At 39.6% G+C, this 22,655-nt stretch overlaps 1 protein-coding gene and 1 pseudogene across 1 annotated transcript; one reads left to right on the top strand and one right to left on the bottom strand.

The window, feature by feature from the left end:
* The first annotated feature begins 1,038 nt into the window (after positions 1–1,038).
* On the top strand, positions 1,039–1,974 carry OR2Y1 (olfactory receptor family 2 subfamily Y member 1). The gene has a single exon (NM_001001657.1). The coding sequence runs from the start codon at positions 1,039–1,041 to the stop codon at positions 1,972–1,974; it is 936 nt and encodes a 311-aa protein (NP_001001657.1).
* Positions 11,360–11,511, bottom strand: RNU1-17P (RNA, U1 small nuclear 17, pseudogene; annotated as a pseudogene).

Here is a 22,655-nt window from a genome sequence, read left to right as displayed (position 1 = left end):
TGGCTATTTTTTTGTTTTGTTTTGTATTTTTAGTAGAGACAGTGTTTCTCCATGTTAGCCAGGCTGGTCTCAAACTCCTGACCTCGGGTGATCCACCCACTTCCACCTCCCAAAGTGCTGGGATTACAGACGTGAACCACCGTGCCCCACTGAAAGACACTAATATTTATTTTACGTTCATTATGTTAGCTACCACTAAGGAGCTCACAGCTCAGAGAGGGACAAAGACATACAAAAAGAATTCCAGCGAGTGTGACAAGTGCAGAAAGAAACTGTACAAAGAGGGTTGGGCTAGAGAGGAGGAAATAACTCTTCTTGGGCAGCTGAGGAATGGATTTAGCCATTGAAGGGAGTGTGTATGTGCGTGTGTGCGTGTGTGTGTGGTATTTCAGGCATGATGACACACCATAGGAAATATATTTGTTGCTAATTGATTTTTTTTTCTTCTCCAAAAGGAGGGATCTACACTCTTCTCAGTCATTTGCTGGTCGTGCGTGGGGTTTCTGGGATTGTATGGGCTGTCCATAGTCGAAAAAAGCAGGTGGGCACCCAGAGGTCAAACAGGGCTCCCAGCCTGGTTAGGCATGGGGGGTAACCCTACTGAAAGAGGCCACCTGCTAGACCAGCAAAGGAGCAAATGGGAGCAACATAGAATAGTAATGCTACCTGTTACATCTGAGTCTTTTAAAAGCAGCTTCCACATTATTGCATTTGACCTTAATCTCATTGCTGTGATACATCATCTCTACTTTTAGGCAAGGAAATGTTGGATCTAAAGGACTGACTGACCTGGGTGAAGTCCTGGAACAAACAGGCAGCAGGACTAGGATTCAAACAAAGGCCATATGATTCCCAAGCCAGTGATTTCCACTCTGAATAAGAGAAGGGAAAGAACACCAGACACAACAAACTGCAGAGCAAAATAGGTAATAAAATGCATGATTTAGTATTCAGGGAATCCTGCGAAATAATGTTGTAGCTTGTGCTCAGTATAGGAGGCATTGCACTTCCTTCTGCTGTTCAGACAGGCAAAAGGCCATGGGAAGTTTCAACACCAGTTTTGAAGATGGCTTCATTTTGGTGGGATTCTCAGATTGGCCGCAACTGGAGCCCATCCTGTTTGTCTTTATTTTTATTTTCTACTCCCTAACTCTCTTTGGCAACACCATCATCATCGCTCTCTCCTGGCTAGACCTTCGGCTGCACACACCTATGTACTTCTTTCTCTCTCATCTGTCCCTCCTGGACCTCTGCTTCACCACCAGCACCGTGCCCCAGCTCCTGATCAACCTTTGCGGGGTGGACCGCACCATCACCCGTGGAGGGTGTGTGGCTCAGCTCTTCATCTACCTAGCCCTGGGCTCCACAGAGTGTGTGCTCCTGGTGGTGATGGCCTTTGACCGCTATGCTGCTGTCTGTCGTCCACTCCACTACATGGCCATCATGCACCCCCATCTCTGCCAGACCCTGGCTATCGCCTCCTGGGGTGCGGGTTTCGTGAACTCTCTGATCCAGACAGGTCTCGCAATGGCCATGCCTCTCTGTGGCCATCGACTGAATCACTTCTTCTGTGAGATGCCTGTATTTCTGAAGTTGGCTTGTGCGGACACAGAAGGAACAGAGGCCAAGATGTTTGTGGCCCGAGTCATAGTCGTGGCTGTTCCTGCAGCACTTATTCTAGGCTCCTATGTGCACATTGCTCATGCAGTGCTGAGGGTGAAGTCAACGGCTGGGCGCAGAAAGGCTTTTGGGACTTGTGGGTCCCACCTCCTAGTAGTTTTCCTTTTTTATGGCTCAGCCATCTACACATATCTCCAATCCATCCACAATTATTCTGAGCGTGAGGGAAAATTTGTTGCCCTTTTTTATACTATAATTACCCCCATTCTCAATCCTCTCATTTATACACTAAGAAACAAGGACGTGAAGGGGGCTCTGTGGAAAGTACTATGGAGGGGCAGGGACTCAGGGTAGGAGGTGAAAAAATGAGCAGTAAAATTTTCTGTAATAGCTCTTCAATCACAGATCTTTCCCTGTTCCTTGGAGGGCAGTTGGTCAGTAGGAAAGCCCTCAGTCATCCTCAGAATTGGTTTTTGTTTTTGTTTTTTGGTGGCGGGGGGAACAGAGTTTCACTCTTGTTGCCCAGGCTGGAGTGCAGTGGCACGATCTTGGCTCACTGCAACCTTGGATTCCTGGGTTCAAGTGATTCTCCTGCCTCAGTCTCCCGAGTAGCTGGGATTACAGGCACCCACCACCACGCCCTACTAATTTTTGTATTTTCAGTAGAGACAGAGTTTCACCATGTTGGCCAGGCTGGTCTCGAACTCCTGACCTCAGGTGATCCACTCGCCTCAGCCTCCCAAAGTGCTGGGATTACAGGTGTGAGCCACCGCGCATGGCCGTCCTCAGAGTTTTAGTCCCTTCCTTGTTTAGAAACTGGAAGTAGGGATCTCTTGGGACTCTTTCTTGCTCAGTGTCTGTGATCACTGTGCAGCCATCAGTAAGTGCTGGTTTTTATCACAACTTTCCAAAGGAACCAGCTTGAGAAGAGGGTGTATTGTGTCCACTTATGGAGAGTGGGATGGGTTCTAGGCAAGACTGAGAGTGATAGAAGATTTAATAGGGAATGACAACACCTTCCCAAGGTCAATGACTCCCAACGTGGTGCCATGCAGATGCACTGTGCCCAGAGGCAGACAGAATGAGTTCCCCCGATTCTAAGTAACTGCGACCCTGCCGTAGACGCTCACATCTCAGAACCCATTTCTAAGGTCTCTAACAGAGGTTATTCATGTCCGATATTTGGAGCAAATAAGGAGATCATAAACAGAGGTACTTCAAGGAGCATGCAGAGTTTCAGGTTTGGATGTCATTTACACACTTGAAGAAAAAGACAAAATCACTAGGGTGGCATTGAGTAAAGGGAGCATAGACTCTTACTAGCTACAACAGGAGTCTCTGTCATGCAGCTTGGTGCCATGGATAAGATATTTTCCATGCAAGAGAGAAGATAATAGAGAAGAAATGAACATATGAATAATGAGCCAAGAGGAATAGATATAGAAAAGAAGAAGGGATAAGGAGGAGTGACAACAATGAAAAAAAGAGATTTCTGTGGAAGGCAGTGGTGGGAGGCTCAAGAGGCTGAAGTGTGAAGACAATGAAAAAAAGAGACTTCTGTGGAAGGCAGTGGTGGGAGGCTCAAGAGGCTGAAGTGTGAAGACAATGAAAAAAAGAGACTTCTGTGGAAGGCAGTGGTGGGAGGCTCAAGAGGCTGAAGTGTGAAGACAATGGGTACCGGATATTCCAGCACTGTCACTGCATCCCACATTCTTGGCTTCATATCAAAGCGTGGCGTCCTTATTAATCAACTTTCACGGTCTTGGTAAATTTCATGTTGAGGGAATCATCTTTTATTCCAATAACAATAACTAATATTTGTTTATATCTGAAAAACCTTTTTGCATACAATGTTATTAGTCCTTACAGCTGTATTGTGAGAGTGAGTTTTGTTATAGTCCCTATTTATTCACAAGAAACTGAGGTTCAGAGAGTTTAAGTCACCCAAGTTCACATAGCAAATATGGGGTGAAGCTGAGATCTAGGTTTCTGAAACCCTAAATCCAACGCTTACTACAACATCCTCCTAATTCTCTTTTTCTGGAAGGACATTTTTAACAGGGAAAGATTGAGTTTGGACAGAAGGGTGGCTGGAGAGAGAATCAAGTGTGAGCTTAGTGTACTTTCATAGTTTTGCTTCGGTTAATTCTGGCCAGGGTTCTAGACTCATCTGAGTTACAAATTCTTTGGTCAGAAGGCTTTTTTTTTTTTTTTTTTTTTTGCACAAAGCTAATGTGTCCTGTAAAAATAGTTATCATTTATTGAACCCTTACTATAGTTACAGTCAAGCATATTTCAAACACCATGCTATATAATATACTTCACCGACACACTAAATTCCTACAATATGGAATGTAGGTGCTATTTCCCTCCTCCTATTAGTTCTGTTGATCTAGAGACTGAAAGTTAGATAATCATTTTGGGTGATTTGCCTCAATTACCCAGGCACTAAATGGTGGGTCAGGATTTGAATCTGGCTTGTTTTATTCCAAATCCTACCCAACTAGCCACTACTTAAAGACCAATTAAGAAATGTTTATTAGCTCAAGGAACTAAGCAAGAAACTGCCTGGAACAAATGATTTTTCTCCCGTATCCTTGTCTATCTAAGTCTAAACAATTCAAGCATATACATTACCCTAATGAAGAAAAGGAAACTATTTGAACTAGCAGGAATCTAATAAAATTGTTTTGTGGTTAATGTGTTCTTTTTTCATTTGGAATGCAGAGATATAGCTTCCTAATTACATTAAAGGGAACATGTCTCATAGCTGAGCAATTTTAAGAGGTCACTGGTACAGTTGGGTACACACAGCCATCACTCTTGCAAGTCAGGTCTTGTGGAAGGCAAATGCCTTCTCCATGGGAACCTACATCCCTTGGGTCTCCTTGGACCTTCTCATCCGTAACAGTGGCTAATTGATCTTTAGAGATTTTTGTGTCCTCACAGCCCTCCCAGAGCCAGTGAGTTGTTCCCAGGGTCCTTCAGTTACCCATCTGAGAGAGGAAGTGAGAGGTGACTTAATGAATGGAAAAGAATATAAACACCTTGGCACCTTTGTCTTCTAGAGCCCAGCTGGCTGCCATTTGAAACCTGTTGCCATTTGTTCTTTACCTGCTAAACCACCTAAGCAGAATTTCGAGCTAGAAATAAGGATGCATATAAGGCTTACAACTGGAACATTTTTATGGAAAAGACAGGGAGAAATAGGAGAAAGGAGATTGGGAGGATTGGTTCTCAAGAGAAAAAAATTAAATTGATGATTTTGTAGAGAAGAAAGAATAAGAACTTGGAGACATTTCAGTGAGTATCAGGGAAAGTGGTTACTGTGGATTGAAAAAATATTCCTGGACTTTATAACACGCACACGCACGCATATGTATAGATATAGGTACAGATATCTATATGTAGATACAGACATACATATCCAGATATAGATAGAGACATATATGTGTATATATATCTAGACCCAGTATATCTATATCTATACATTAGACATACATGTGTGTATCTGTCTAGATACACATGTATGTCTATATCTATATATATACATATACATCTAGATACATATATGTATATGTATATATCCAGATATGTATACATATATATCTAGATATATACATAAACGATACATATATATCGTGTGTATATATATGTGTGTGTGTATATATACTCATATATATGTGTGTGTGTATATATACATATATGTGTGTGAATATATATACACATATATATGTGTGTGTATATACATATGTGTGTGTGTGTGTATATATATATATACATATATATATATTTCATTTGTTTTATTGGCATCACTTGTCATTGAAGTCCATAGGTAAGATCAGGAACAAGACAAAGATGCATACTTTCGCTACTTGTATTCAACATAGAATGAAATTTTATTGCTAGAGCAATGAAAGCAGATGAAAGAAATAAGACACCCAAATTGGAAAGAAGATGTGAAATTGTCTCTGCAGGTGACACAATCTTATATGTAAAAAATCCTAAAGACTCCACCAAAATGCTGTCAGAACTAGTAAATGAATTCAGTAGTCACAGGACACAAAATCAACATAAAAAATGAGTTGCATTTTTATACAATAACAACAAACTATTCAAAAAAGAAATCAAGAAACAAATCCCATTTATAATATTTAAGAAACTCCTACAATGAAGTCAATAGCAAACAAAAAAACTCACTAAGTAACCATTTAAAAATGGGCAAAGGCGGCCCGGTGCGGTGGCTCATGCCTGTAATCCCAGCAATTTGGGAGGCGGAGGTGGGTGGATCACTTGAGGTCAGGAGTTCAAGACCTGCCTGGCCAACATGGAGAAACACTGTCTCTACTAAAAATATAAAAATTAGCCGGGTGTGGTGGCAGGTGCTGTAATCCCAGCTCCTTGGGAGGCTGAGGCAGGAGAATTGCTTGAACCCAGGAGGCAGATGTTGCAGTGAGCCGAGATCGCACCACTGCACTCCATCCTGGGCAACAGAGAGAGACTCCATCAAAAAAAAGAGAGGGGTGGGCAAAGAATAGACATTTAGACATTTTTCCAAAGAAGTCATACAAATAGCCAAGAGATATGGAAAGAATTCTCAACATCACTAATCAGGGGAATACAAATCAAAACCATAATGAGATATCACCTCACACCTCTTAGGATGGCTATTACTAAAAAGCCAAAAGATAGTTAAGTGTTGGGCAGGGTGTGGAGAAGGGAATCTTTGAACATTGTTGGTGGTACAGCCATTGTGGGAAACAGTAGGAAAGTTTCTCAAAAAATTAAACGTAGAACCACCATATTATCCAGCAATCCTACTTTTGGTTATACATAAAGCAATATCTAAAGGAAATTACTACCTTGAGAAGATATCTGCACTCCCATGTTCATTGCAGCACTATTCACAATAGCTGAGATATGGAAACAATCTAAGTGCCCACCAAGAGATGAACGGATAAAGACAACATGAGACATGAATATTATTCAGACGTAAAGAGGAAGGAAATCCTGTCATCTGCAATAACATGGATGAACCTTAGGATACTACGCTAAGTAAAATAAGCCATACACAAAAAGACAGATACCACATGATCTCATTTATATGTAGAATCTTCAAAAAAAATCAAACTCCTAGTAATAGAGAGTAGAGCTATGGTTAACAGGGGCGGGGGTGGAACAAAAGGGAGATACTGGTCAAAGCGTAAAACCTTCAGCTATAAAGTAAGTACTGCAGACCTATTGTATGTTATGATAACTGTAGTTAATAATAATGTATTGTATACTTGAAATTTGCTAAAAGAGTCGGTGAAAGATATTCTGACCACAAAAATGGTTAACTATTTGAGGTGATGGATGTTAATTACCCAAATTGTGGTAATGATTATACAATGTATATACTGTATATATCAAAATATTACGTTGTACACCCTAAATGTATGCAATTTTTATTTGTCAAAAAAATTCATAGTGAGTTCCTCAAAGGGTGATTGCTTATTTAGGAGATAAATTTAAGGAGGAGGCATTCTTTAGCTGCAGAAGGGAAGGTTCAGATACACCCATCTGGCAATCAGCAACAGGAGGGAAGACCCCTGTCTTCATGGAGGTGGTGGTGATGAGCTTGTGTGTGTGTTGGGGAGAGGAATGAGTGTGTGTGCACGTGTGCATGTGCTGTGTGGGAGTACCTTCTCAGAGGCCCAGTGTGACACTAGGAGACTGAGTAGCAAGAAAGGACCCTAAGTAATGTTCAGCACTCGTTTCTTTCATCTTCACTCAATCTCTATCCTTTTGTACGTGTAAGAAGGTTGCTAAACCTCTCTCCCTAAACCCTTTTCTTGCATCTTGATGCCAGAAATGCCTCATCATAAATCAGTATCTGAGCCAGAAGAATATTAAGAGAAGAGTTGCCTTTGCCCTTATGGAGTCTTCCATCCGTATCAAATTCTTTTCAGATTTTTAAAAGGCTTTACAGGTTTCATTCTAATTCTTTCTGGGGCTGATATAAGAGAGCTGAGCTATGACACTTCTTTTATTACAACCCAACCCAAAGCTTTGCTTATTTATCATTTAACTCAAGGACTGGGGATGCCGTTCTCTTCAACAAAGATGTGAGGAAAGAGGGGAATATTCAAAAAATAATGACAACAACAGAAGGCACATTATAAGGAAAAGTTAGAGAATGCTTTTATTGTATCTTGATATACAAATATTATTATTTAAAAGATATGGAGATCAGTGGTTTTCTCTGCCATCTGGCTACTGAGAAAGAAAACCTTGAGTCAAAGATGGTTTGGCACTGGACATAGGGAACGACTTAGCTACGAGTGTGCGGTGACTCTGAAACAGCCATAAAGGGCAGCTATGGCCTCTCCATTACAGATATGGGCAGAACAGGTTTATAGGTAGTAATGTGCAGAGAATGTCAGAGCTGTCATCTGATATGACTTACAGTCCAAGTTCCCTAGGAACCCGAATAGACAAGTGTCCTTAGCATTGATGTACAGAAATGAAGAACCAACAAAGCCACTATTTTGACATCAATACCAGCATCGTTTTGGTAGAAGAGGCCCAATATTTAACAGGTTTATGGCTAACGACCATACTTAGGAATTTATTCAACAAATCTTTATTTCATGACTGCCACATATCAGGGAATTTTCTGGGAGTTGGGACCCAGCCTTTTACTGTGGGGCTCACCATTTTTCTGTGGGCATACAGTCTGCAACCAATCTCCACTGGAATTTCAAAGAGGGAATTACGTTGCTCAAGGTTAAACATTCCTCGAGTACTTTTTTGATACATTTTCACGGCCCAGGAGAGAATTTGGTCATATGTGGTTAAAATAATTTTGAGGTCTACATTATTGTTGCTGTCACTTATAACATGAGACTTTGCCATCCTGGGAGGCATATGTGGGAGACACTGGAGAACTAGACGGCTCGTGCCCTCAGTGTCTTGGCTAGTCGCCCCCTTCCGGAAGGGAAGGTCTCCCATTCAGCATATGCTATTGCTGTTCTTGGGCTTCTAAGCTTCCCAAAGAAGATGTCAAGATATTTTCCACTGCAAGGGTTTGTGAAAACCCTCATATGTGACATTAACTGACAGTAGAAGGACCCGGGATAACTTCTAGGGTGTATTTGTATAACTGAGTTCAAGGATACTCCATACAACTTCAGTGAGAAAAAAATCTAATTTACAGAGAATTATTTGAGGAATATTCCTTTATTCTTTTCCTGAGCGTCCACTTCCTAATCCCCAGACTGCCATCCAGGACAGCTTCATTCGGTCCTTGTTGAATTGCTTTTGCCACATTGAACTGTGCTTTAGTAGCATGGCGTCAATATACATTAAAGGAAACAACTTTGTAAAACCCGAGCTGTGTTTGCTGTAAAGACATTGAGATGCCTTTAGGAATACCAAGGGGAACATTTCTCTCTGGTGTCATTACCAACAATATTTATGCACTTTTAATCTTTAAAACTCATGGACACTGTAGTTTATGTAGCTAACATTGTCTCCTTCCACACTGGACTCTTGAAATCCAAGAGTGGAATTCATATCCTATGTTTTCAAATGTACAGCACCTTGTAGGTTTCCTTTTTGGACTTGTCTATGCTTGCAGGTTTCACATCACCCTTTAACCCTGATTCCTAGTTTACTAGTTTTCTTTACTCACGTAGTAAAAACTGTATTTTATGTATTACTGAGAACATCTAACTTTTTCTCTGAATGAACTAGGGATATAAATAAAGAAAGTCTAATGGTTTACTCAGAAAGAAAGAGGTCTTGCTATGTTGCCCAGGCGGGTCTCAAACTTCTAGACTCAAGCGATCCTCCTGCCCCAGCCTCCCAAAGTGCTGGGATTACAAGCGTGAGCCACTTCACCCAGCTAATATGTGGACTTAAATATATATTTTTTAAAATATATATATATTTATATATTATAAATACATATATAAATATATATAATAAAATATAAGTTTATATAAATATACACATACATATATATATTTTTTATTTTTATTTTTATTTTTATTTTTTTTTTTTGAGACAGAGTTTCACTCTTGTTGCCCAGACTGGAGTGCAATGGCACGATCTCGGCTCACAGCAACCTCTGCCTCCTGCGTTCAAGTGATTCTCCTGCCTCAGCCTCCCGAGTAGCTGGGATTACAGGCATCCAGCACCATGCCCGGCTAATTTTTGTATTTTTAGTAGAGACGAGATTTCACCATGTTGGCCAGACTGGTCTCGAACTCCTGACCTCATGATTTGCCCACCTCGGCCTTCCAAAGTGCTGGGATTACAGGCGTCAGCCACCACACCCGGCCTAAATATATATGTATATTCCAGCCCTTAATCTGGAAAGCTACTGCTTAATTCCAGGACTTATTACCAGACAATTAATAATTGACAATTATTCCGTATCAGTTCAAACTGCTCTTCATTTTTGATGGCTGTTTTTATTCCATGCATGCATGTACCATACTTTATGTAACCAATTTAACCAATCATTTCGGTTGATGAGCATTTCAGCTGTGTCCTGCCTTTGCTCTCACAAGCAACACTGCAATGAGTAGCCTTGGATATACATCATTTTGTACACTTGTGAGAGTATCTGTATGCTACATTTCTACAAATGAATTGCTGATTCACAGTATTTGTCATTAATAATTTTGATAAAGATCACAAATTTCCCTCAATAGAGTTTGTTCCAATTTACACTCCCATGAGTAAACTTTTTATTTTATTTACTATTTATTTTACTTACAAAACTGAAAGTGAAGGATGGTGTTACGGAGAGACTGAATTTGCATTTCTCTCATCATGACTGAGGTTGAGATCTCTTCCTAGTTTTAGAGTTGTTTGTATTTCTTTTTCTGGGAACTTGCTCATCACACCTCATTTTATCTATTGGCTATTATTCTCATTCACAGAAGCTTTTAATATATTGGGAAGTTCAGCTCTTTATGAGATAAATTTGTGAGTTGTAAATACTTGTTACAATTTTCAATTTAACTTTTGACTTGATTTTGCAGGTTTGTGATACATAGGAGTTGATTTATGAATCTTTTTTATGCTTCTTGGTTTTATGTTAATGTTTTAGAAAGACCTTCCTGCAGGGTCAATAAGGAATTCAGCCATGGTTTAATTTAGTTATCGTTTTGATTCTTTTTTACATTTAAATCCTTGATCCATTTTGAATTTGTCCTGGTGTAAAGGACAAATATGTGTCCAAAATTATTCTTTTTTTCAGATGGCTAACTAGGAGTTCCAACAACCTGTCTCGTATAATCTGTCTGTACTTTATTGGCCTGTGTTACACCATTATCACATACTAAATTCCACAAGAAAATGGGTCTATTTATAAACTTTCTTTACCATTCCACAGATCTATGTCTTCAAGCATTCAAGTCACAATGTTTAAATTATTGAGTTTTAGAGTCTATTATACAGTAAACCATCTGGAAGGAGTAGTATCCCCCTCATTCCTCTTCTTTTTAAAAAGAGATTTCACGACTTTTCGTGTTTATTTTCCACTTAACCTTTAATATGAACTTATCCAACTCCACAGTAAAATCCTGCGGGCATTTTATTAGGATCATGCCACACTTTAGTATTAGGAATTGTCTTTATTTGTCTTAGCTAATGGTTTTGGCTTGAAGTCTACCTTGTATCGTATTAATATCCTAAATATTTTATTTTTATTTTTATATTTAAAAATTTTAAATTTTTTAAATCAGAAGAGAGTGCAATGCAGTCCTTCAAAAATTATGCAGTTGAGTTTCCTACATTTGGGGAAATCATGCGGGTCAGCATATCCGGAGTGCAATGGTTGAGGCTTGCCCTGGAAAACCACCTTCGTGATCATGGTAACTCCTGCCGGGTAAAAATACTGCTTTCTTTTGTTCCCATTTGCCTGATATACCTTTGATGACCTTCTTTTTTTCCAATCCTTTCTTAGTCACAGTGCCCAAGATGAACTTTACTTCGTTACCCAATCTTGAAAGCATTTTTATTTTAATAGGGAAGTTAAATATTTTTTTTTATATACTACTAAATCTTTTTTTTTTTTTTTTTCAGACAGAATCTCACTCTGTCACCCACGCTGGAGTGCAGTGGTGTGACCTTGGCTCACTGCAACCTCTACTCTCTGGGTTCAAGCGATTCTTGTGCCTCAGCCTCCCAAATAGCTGGGATTACAGGCATGCACCACAATGCCCGGCTAATTTTTGTATTATTAGTAGAGATGGGGTTTCACCATGTTGGCCAGGCAGGTCTTGAACTCCTGAGCTCAAGTTATCCACCCGCCTCGGCCTCCCAAAGTGCTGAGATTACAGGCATGAGCCACTGCGCCCAGCCAATACTATTTTGTTTTTTATTAATTCATTTACATTTAGTGGTATGATGTATATTTGGACCTAACTATATTATTTTATGCTATGTTTTGTTGTAGATTTTTAAAAAACATTCACTATGCTGACTATTGTCTTTACCTTCTTTTTTTGTGTGTATATTTCCCTGATGGAAGAGAGATATGTCCTAATGTTTACTTGTATAATAATACATTTATTTAATAATTTAGTCTTTTGTTTCCTTAGAAAGTATCTGTAAATTTCCTATTTTAAGCAATTAATAAATTAATAAGTTTCTTTTTATCTCTTCACTCTCGTTCACTATTTAATTTTATTTTTAGTTGATTGCGTCAACTTTATTAATGTTATTCTTTATACTCAAATGTGCTTATGACTCTGTTGGCTTGTCAGTTTTAATGAGACACTTTGCTCCTAGCTATTAAAATAAAAAAAATCAGTATACTTACTCTATTAAGCAATTTTTTTTCATTTTGCTTTCTCAAAGTGTGTTGAATATGGCATTTCAACATTTTCAAGACATATAACATTAGCATTCTCTTCTGTCTCCCTATTTCTCATATTGGCTTTAGTTTGGTCTGGTAGTAAAATTCAGTGTGTACCATTAATTTCTTGGATGTAGATTTTTAGGCCGTCTCTGGACTCATGGGGAAAATATTCCTATAGTTTTAAACATGTTCAAACTTTGATGAGTGTGAAATTCTTAGGTCACATTTTTATCTTAAGGTCACTCTTGCCCTTGGATCCCAGGCAAAAGGAGGACCTCTGCCCTAGCCCCATGTCTCAGGGTATCCATACTTTGGAGTGCCTTCCTCACTCACAGTATGCCCCACTGTTTCCCACGGCAACCGTGCCATTTTACATTCCCAGCAGCAATGCGTGGCATTCCAGTTTCTCCACATTCTCACCAACACTTGTTATTTTTTATCAGCCCTGTGAGTGGGAAGTGATATCTCATTGTGGTTTGCTTTTGCATTTCCTAATGATTAGTGATGTTGAGCATCTTTTCATGTCCTTGTTTGCTATCTGTATATCCTTTATGGAGAAATGTGTATTCAAGTCCTTTGGCCATTTTTAAATTGGATTGCTTATTTTTGGTTGTTGAGTTGTAGGAATTATTTATATATTCTGGATATTAATCTCTTATCCAATGTGTGCTTTAATTTTTTTCTCCCAATCTGTGTTTTCCTTGCCTTTGTAGTCTCCTGATTGTATCCTTTATTGTACAAAAGTTTTTAATTTTTATGAAGCCCAGTTTATCTCCCATTTATTTTGTTACCTGTGTTTTGGGTGTCATATCCAAGAAACCATTGCCAAATCCAACATCAGGAAGATTTCCCCCAGGCTTTCTTTTCAAAGTCAATAATTTAGCTCTTATAGGTCTTCAGTCCATCTTAGTTAATCTTTTTACGTAGTATAAGGTAAGCATCCATCCCTATTCTTTTTCATGTGGGTATCCAATTTTTTCAGCACCATTTGTTAAAAATTTTCTTTCTCCATTGAATGGTCTTGTCACTTTTGTCAAAAATCAATTGATTTTTGTGAGTGTTAATTTCTGAACTCATTATCCTATTCAATTGGTCTATATGCCTGTCTTTATGTCTGTACCACAGTGTTTTGAGGGACTAGTTTTTTTATATGGACAGGGTCTCCGCAATAAATGTATTTGCCTGGTCCCAACACACCCTGGGCAGCCCTGTTGAGGATTTCACAGGCTCTGCTCTAGGGTCATCTAGTGATGAATACTGCAGAGGCGTCTGAACCAGCCTGATTTATTTGCTCTCTCAAGTGACTTAATCCATTTGCTCATCTGCCCAGTGGGTTCTATATCTTTGAAATAGAGACCATCTTTACCAGGATTGTCTCACTGTTGACCTGATACAGATCAGTCTTCCAGAGAATATGGTATGCTCTTTAAATCACATTTTCAATTCACATTTTCACAGGAGTGCTTTCCAATATTATATTTTTAAATATTTGTTCTGTTTTCAATATTTTTATTTTTTCTTTGAGTACTCCAATTTTATACTGCTTTTCTTCCATAGCTGTTACTCTCTAATTTCTTTAAACTTAATTTATTTCTGTTTTCATTTATTCATTTCTCTCTTTCTCTCTTCTGTGACCCTTGCTGTGTTGTGTCCATGTCTCTTCCTGCGCCCCATCCAATTTTGCCTTCTTTTCTGTGACGATTTAATCTTTTTTTCTTTCCCTGTGTTTCCTGATCTTTGCTGGGTCGCAGTTCACATCCTGTTTTCTTACCTTATGTTCTCTGAACTTTTAAATCTCTTCACTACATTCATGCTTGTTAGAGGTGGTTGCTTCATTATGTCTTTAAAAACTGTTATTGTCCTAATTAATACTTGTGCTAATTTTTCTCCGCTCCTTGGCAACATTTTTTTTCTGGTGTCTTTGTCTATCTGTTACTTACATTTCCTCTTCTTTTGATCATTGTTTCTTTTTTTTATTTTCTTTTTTTCACCCTCTGATCTATTTGAACATGAAATATTTTTCTTACGTTATTTTTGTACATGTATTTTGCTGGTTCCTTTTTATTGCTCATCATTGGAGGAAGCGTGTGTTTCTTTTTCTTTTTTTTGGAGATGGGGTCTCACTCAGTCACCCAGGCTGGAGTGCAGTGTTGCAATCATAGCTCACTCTAACTTCTAACTCCTGGGCTCAAGAAATCATCCCACCTTGGCCTCCCAAAGTTCTGGAATTAGAGGTGTGAGCCACTGTGCCTGGTGGAAGTGTGTTTTTCATTAATAACTATTTGCATGAAGTTTGCATGAGGTGCATCCAGGGCCTTCTTGCAGAATCACTGGATTTTTTTTCTGATGAACTAGGATTTTCTGTGTGTTTGCTTACCTTTTACTTTTCCCTAGCCAAAGGAGACACAGAAGCTATTTTAATTGCTTTGGTTTATTAGAAAAAGTTTCACTGGCCGGGCATGGTGACATGTACCTGTAGTCCCAGCTATTCGGGAGGCTGAGGCAGGAGGATCACTTTAATCCAGGAGTTTGAGGTTGCAGTGAGCTATGATCTACTGCACTCCAGCCCACTGAATGTAGTTCCTATCTCCTCATCTGATATGAGGCCAGCCACTCTTTAGAAATATGACCTATTCATATGATTCCTTATTTGGCCTGTTCTTCAGCTTTCCAAAATCAAATTTGCCACCAGCCGATACCTGTGGTCACCTCCACTGAAATAAGAGAGATAGTTTTCGACCCAAGGGTGTGCTTTGAGAAGTATCTTCTGCTGTGTCTTTCTGAGCTCTGTAGCTGCAGAGTCATCTTTCCAAGCAACCTCTTCCACTTCATCTCACACCAGTGCTCAATTCCCACCTGGTTCACCGTCCTCGACATTTTGTGGTTTGGAGTTTTAGATAATTCTCAGTTTCTCTGAAAATGGAAATTCAACTTCTGATTTTAATTCTCCTTGCGGCTTTTGAATGATTTATGTAATAGAAGGGGGAAACACTGACTTTATGGTATGATGTTATATGCTCTATTTATGCTTGTTGAGTTGAATTTCCAGTAGTTATCTACATTTATTTATAAGTTCCTTTTCTGATTCTTGCACACTGGGGTGAGATAGTAGGCCAGAGCTGAGGGTATACTTTGTGAACAGAAAACAAATGCCAGAAGTATTGTTTGTTCAGTGTGAATCTAACTGGACTTAGATGGCATTTCAATCTTTCAATTTTGTTTTCATCAGACCCACCTCTAACATCTGAAAAAGGAAGAAGTAAATGAGAAAAATCTTCTTCATATACAAGTATCTTTACTGAAAAGTTGTTTGAGCCTTATACTTAATTTTAACCTATTAAACTACATTTAATATAATCTGTTTTCCTGTGGTCTTTAGCAATAACCATGCTCCCACACCACATCCTATGCAAATATGTGCATATGTACATTATGTGCAAAAATGTGCATGCTTGTAAGTATCCATTCACAACTTAGTTTATTTAGACTGACGCCAATTTTCACTCGGAACAGGCAGTGAGGGATGAAGGAGGCAGCCTGGGCGTGTGAGGTCGGTATGGTGTACAAGCCGGGCATTATTCAGGTCGCGGGAGCTAAGGTTTGCCGTCAACTGCTTCATGTCCTTCTACTGAACATTGTAAGATCATTATCATAATTCCTTCACCAATTTGCTTATTAAATATTTCATGAAGGAAACACCTTAATATTTCCTTAATTGAATGGCTATTCAATGAATGATAACATGAAGGTACTCTTGGAAGAATAACAAGATAAGACAGTGGTTTTCAGAGTGTCCCAAAGGAGGCCATTGTCTCAGGGGTCCCCAACCAGCAGCATCACCAGCTCCCAGGAACTTGTTAGAAATTTGAACTCTTGGACCCCAGCCTGACCTCTTCAATCAGAGACTCTGCGGGAAGGGGGACAGTCATCTGTGCTTTAACAAACCCTCTGCTGATTCTAATGCACACGTGTGGGAATCACTGATATCAGCCACGATTCCTCCCCCTATCTTTTCTTTTGGTTCTGTATAGAACTGAGTCACTTCAAGGGTTAAACGAGCTCACTACGTGAAGATTCTAGAGTATAAAGTAGTATACATCTTTTAGTTATTGTGTCCACCATAAAAGGGGGCAAACTGAGGTGGGAATCTCTAAGAGTTCAGCCTTATCTTTTACAGTGTGTGTAGAAAGCCATGAATTAACCTTAATATCAAAATCCACCTTCCCCCTCCAGGTGACCAGCCATGGAAATTGCTATTACTAACTTGAAACAGAGTATTTCTTCGTGGGCATAGATTCGTGGGAAATACAACTCTCAATCTTTTGTTGCTTATTTTTATCCAGATATAGTAAGAGTAAAACAAATATCCATGTAGCTGTGAGATGGAAAACAGTCCGAGGAGACGATGGGGACAGGAGAGGGGAGGGCAGGCCCCCTCTTTCAGCACCAGATCAACAGGATGAATATCTGTCAGTGCAGCAGTGAGTCACTTCCTTCTCCACACCTGGCCACCTCTTTGGGTCTCTGTCTGCAGCCTGGATTTCCCCAAATTTAGGGCCTGGAGATGATCACTGTATTCATTCTATTTTAGGTAAGTTTCTGCCTTTAGTGTAAGCAATTCTACTATTTTTCACCTCACCGAGGGATTTGATTATGTGATTGGTGCTTGACAATTAGACAAGGGTGCATGGAACACAGAACAGGTCAGTTGGGATGGGTGGAAGATCTTATGAAGAATAAAGCAGGCCGGGCGCGGTGGCTCACGCCTGTAATCCCAGCACTTTGGGAGGCCGAGGCGGGGGGATCACCTGAGGTCAGGAGTTCAAGACTAGCCTGGCCAACATGGTAAAATCCCGTCTCTACTAAATACAAAAATTAGCTAGGCGTGGTGGCGCATGCCTGTAATCCCAGCTACTCAGGAGGCTGAGGCAGGAGAATTGCTTGAACTTGGGAGGCGGAGGTTGCAGTGAGCCGAGACCACGCCATTGCACTCCAGCCTGGGCAACAAGAGTGAAACTCCGTCTAAAACAAACAAACAAACAACAACAACAAAAAAAAACCATAAAGCAATGAGGAGGTCTAGGCACCTGGGATAGAAACCCCAAAAATAAAGAATGAGGGTTCTTAGAAGAAGGGATGAAGGGAGAATTGTGCTATGAGGCAGTTCTGTGGCCATCTCAGTGACTCCTAAACTGGCCAGCTGTTTCTTGCTAGGCAAAGGGATGAGCAGGGATCTTCCTTAAAGTTGGTCCTAGGTCCTATGCAGCACGCTCACACCCGGGACAGAGCGCAGTAGTCGAGTGATTTATTGTTTTCTTTTTCTCACAGGTCACTCAGAAGGTGATGATGGGAAGGGACAATTTCACATCTTGGAGAGGCTCCATCCTGGTGGCTTCTTGCAGCAACCACAGTGAGAGAGGATATTTGTGTTCTTGTTGATAGTCCACCTTCTGACACTCGTGGCTAAGGGACTATCACTACAGGCTGTGTCCTGGACCCCCTGCTCCACACACTGGTGTCTCTTACTCACTTGCATCTCCTTTATTGACCTCACAGGGTGACCTGCCTCAGCCCTCAGATGCTGCTCAACCCTGGGAGCCGACAGGTCCGTGCGGTTTGCTGGGTGTGTTGCCCAGCTTCTCAGGGTGCCCTTCTGTCCACAATGGCATATGAGCGGCACGAGGTACACCCTGAATATATACAATTATTATGTATCAATTAAGGTGTGTTGCCCAGCTTCTCAGGGTGCCCTTCCGTCCGCAATGGCATATGAGCGGCACGAGGTACACCCTGAATATATACAATTATTATGTATCAATTAAGTATTTTATTTTTATTTTAAGTTTAATTTTATTTGACAAATAATTGTATGTATTTGTGGGATACAATGTGATGTTTTGGTGCATTTATACATTGTGGAATGATTCAATCAGGCTCATTCACATACTCACATCCTTTTCTTGTGGCAAGAACATTTAAAATCCACTCTGTTAGCAATTTTGAAATATACAATATATTAGTATTAATTATAGATACTATGCTGTGCCATAGATCACCAGAACTTACTCCTTCATTCCACTCTCTACTCCTAGGAGTTTGACATCTTTAGACTCCGCATGTCAGATCAGGCCGTATTTATCCTTTAGTGCCTGACTTCTTTCAGTTAATATATTGTCCTCAAGATTTATTTATGTTGTTACAAATGACAGAATTTCCTTCTTTTGAAAGGTTGAATAGTGTTCCATTGTGTATATAGGCCATAATTTTTTGAATTCACTCATCCATTGATGAACACCTAGGTTGCTTCCATATCTTGGCTGCTGTGAACAGTGCTGCAATGAACATGAGAGTCAGATATCTCTTTGATACACTGATTTCAATTCCTTTGGGTATACACATAGTGGGATTACTGGATCATACGGCAGTTCCATTTTTCGTCTTTTGAGAAACCTCTATACTTGTCTCCATCGTGGCTGTACTAATTTCCATTCCCACCAACGGTGCCCTAGGGTTCCCTTTCTCCACATCTTCACCAGCACTTGTCTTTCCTCTTTTTGATACTATCCATTTTGAGAGGTGTGAGGTGATAACCATTGTGCTTATAATTTGCATTTTTCTGATGTGAGCATTTTTTCGTACACTTATTGACCATTCATATGTCTTCTTTTGAGAAATGTCTATTCAGGTCCTTTGCTCACTTTTAAAGAGGGTTATTTGTTTTCTTATTATTGATTAGTTTCAGTTCTTTACATATTTTGCATATTAGTGCCTTATCCAATATATAATTTACAAGTATTTTCTTCCTACCTGTGGTATGTTCCTTCCTTCAATCAACTGCTTCTTTTGCTGTACAGAAGCCTTCCAGTTTCCTGCAATCCCATTTGTCTATTTTTGCTTTTTCATTGCTTGTGCTTTTCAGGTCATATCCAAGAAATCATGGTCCAGACCAGTGTCATGGAGCTTTTCTCTAATGTTTTCTTCTAGTAGTTTTAGAGTGTCGGGACTTTTGTTAAGTTTTTCATCCATTTTAGTTGATTCTTGCATAAGGAGTGAGATGAGTCCAATTTCCTTCTTCTGCATATGAATAGCCAGTTTCCCAACACCATTTATTTCTATTCTGCTGTTGATGAACATTGGTGCGAATGATGTGGCCATGAACTCGTGGGACTTGTTCCTGTGCACATGGGAAGGAGTTTCTCCAGGGAATGTGTCTAAGCTGGAATTGCTGGCCTCGCAATGCCATTTAAATTTATATTTCCCTGCTTGTTAATGAGGTTGGGTATTCTTTAACATGATTATAAAAAGTAGTTCCTCTTCTATAAAATACTTGATCAGTTCTTCTGCCTATGTGTCTTAGCTCTTTTTCTGCTGTGATAATCGAATATCACAGACTGGGTAATTTATAAAGAATATAAATATATATGGCTCATGGTTCTGGAGGCTGGGAAGTCAAACAGTATGGTACTGGCTTGTGGTGGCAGAGTGCTCCTTAAAGGCTGAGGTTCCAACTTTGACTCCTCTACTTTGTAGTTTTGTGACTTTGGGCAAATTAATTTGCACAAGAAACTCTCTAATCCTCCTTTTTCTCATTCATATAATGGCGATAAATAACATCACCACACATAGGGTTGTGAAGATTAACTGGTTTTTACTTACAAAGCTCTTCTATCCTTAAATTAACGCCTACTTCGCACTGACTGTTTAGCAGGTAGTATTCTACTGCTAAACAGTCAGTGCGAAGTAGGCGTTAATTTAAAGATAGAAATATAAGCCCTACCTCCATGTGCCCAGATGGTGTTCCTAGGCCAAGCATGGAGGACGTCACATTCCCTTAGCTGTGAGGGGCTGGGCAGCGTGGTCCGGCTGTTAGCCCAGGAGGAAGAGAAGGCCGTGGGTTTGGGGAGCAGCTAGGAGATCCTGCCACACATGCACTGTCTGATGTTGGCTGAGACAGTCCTATGGGGGCGCCTGAGCTCTTACGATTCTGTGGCTTTGTTGGTGAGCGGGTTTGTTTTCCTTTTCTAAGAAAACAAATAGAATCTGGGTCACAGGCCAGACATCTATTTGTTTGCTTTTTTAACTTCTAGATCAATGATTTTTAATTGAAGTATGATTGACAAATAAACATCAGATATATTTAAGGTATATAATGTGATGTTTTGATGTACATATGTGTTGTGTAACAATCAAGCTAATTAACCTACCCAACACCTCGCATATGTACTTTTTCTATTTTCTTTTCAGTGATAACACTTAAGATCTACTCTCTTAGCAAATTTCGAGTATACAATGCATTATTATTAATAAACTATAGTCACCATGCTGTACATTAGATCTCCTTATTTATCTTTAATCAAAAGTTTGTAGCCCTTGACCAGCATCCCCCTATTTTCTTCCACCCAGCAGCCCCTGGAAACCATCATTCTACTCTCTGTTTAGATTAATGATGTTTTTACAGTTTGTTATCTTAAAAGTCATCCAGAGATAGGTTAAAGACTTAGATTCTGGAGTCAGACCTCCTGAACTTAAAGACTACATCTGCTACTTTCTAATAATAATAATTAATTACATTAATAATTATATTAATTATTAACCATATTAATAATTATATTATATTGATTATTAATTATATTAATTATTAATATTATAATTAATTGTTATAATAATTATTCGTTATTAATATAATAATTTATAATATAATATTTAATTATTGGCAAGTTACTCAATCTCTCTATGCTCGTTTTCTCTTTAGTAAAATAATAATATAAAATGTGAAAAATAGTTTATATATCACAAGTTCTTTTAGAATTTGAGGGTGAAAAGGCACAGCATCCAGAGAAACTGAAAATAGAAATAAGTCTAGCTGTTAGTAATCAACTGTACCTTCTTTGCTGAGTGGCAGAAGATGAAACTTCAGCTATCCTTGGTTGCTTTATGTCAGTGTTTCCAATGTACTCAAATCTGAGAGTGGAATGCCATTTCAAATGAAAACATTCAGGTGAAAACAACGGCCAGATGGCCATGAAATTTTTACCGTCATCACAAGAGACATGAGGAAAAGTGTTTCTTCCCGTTTCATGGCCGGGCCAATGATTTAAACATTTTCTCATACATTTTGATAAAGTGGTGGTGTGGACAAATACTTACTAAAAGACGATTGTATTCATTTGGTAGGACGACCTTAACCAAATACCACAGACTGGGTAGTTTAAACAACAGTAATTGTTTTCTCACCATCTGGAGCTGGAGCTCCAAGACCAAGGTGTGGGCAGGGCTGGTTCTCCTGAGGCCTTTCTCCTTGGCTTACAGAATTGCCTCCTCCCTGTGTCCTTACGTGGTTGTCCCTCTGTGTGTGTCTGTGTCCTCACCTCCTCCGTAAGGACAGCAGTCATATTGGATTGGGGACCACCCATAGGACCTCATTTTACTTTGATTACCTCTTTTAAGGACCAGTCTCTGAACAGTCACATTCTGAGACTACTGGGAGTTAGGACTCCACAATACAAATTGGGGTTGGGGAAATGAGCACGATTCAGCCCATAACAACTATTATGGTAAAGCAATGTGTCTGGTATCATGACAATAACTCAAAACTTTTACGACTCAGTATATAGCAAGAAATCTCTGCAAAAACCTGCCTGCCTGCCTGCCTGTCTCAAACTTTCAGAGCAAAACAAAACAAAAACTTCCAGCAAAACACAAAGTTCCAGCAGGTGGAGCTGTTTCTAGACTAAAAAATCACTTGATGTGCAAACAAAGCGTGAATGCAACCTGCTTTTTGAAACAGTAAGGCTTTTTTTTTCTTTTTTAAAAATATGAAAGGAAGGCCCTTTTCAAATATATCTGGGCTTGAGTATAATAAATAGAGGATAAATCCCAAAGTTCTGGAAACATTGTTTAATATCTGCACCTCAAAGTGAACATTTTATTATAAAACATGTAGCTCTTTTCCTCTCAGATTTGATTTTAAAATGTTATTTTCTGCACACAAGAAGGAAAAGGTCTGTAATCCCAGCACTTCGGGAGGCCGAGGTGGGCGGATCACTTGAGGTCAGGAGTTCGAGACCAGCCTGACCAACATGGTGAAACAAAATTAGCCTAGTGTGGTGGTGCACACCTGTAATCGCAGCTACTCGGGAAGCTGAAGCAGGAGAATGATTAGAGTCTGGGAGACGGA

The sequence above is a fragment of the Homo sapiens genome, chromosome 5 (genome assembly GCF_000001405.40).
Source record: "Homo sapiens chromosome 5, GRCh38.p14 Primary Assembly".
In the NCBI taxonomy this organism is placed as follows: domain Eukaryota; kingdom Metazoa; phylum Chordata; class Mammalia; order Primates; family Hominidae; genus Homo; species Homo sapiens.
This window is presented reverse-complemented; position numbering and strand designations above follow the sequence as displayed.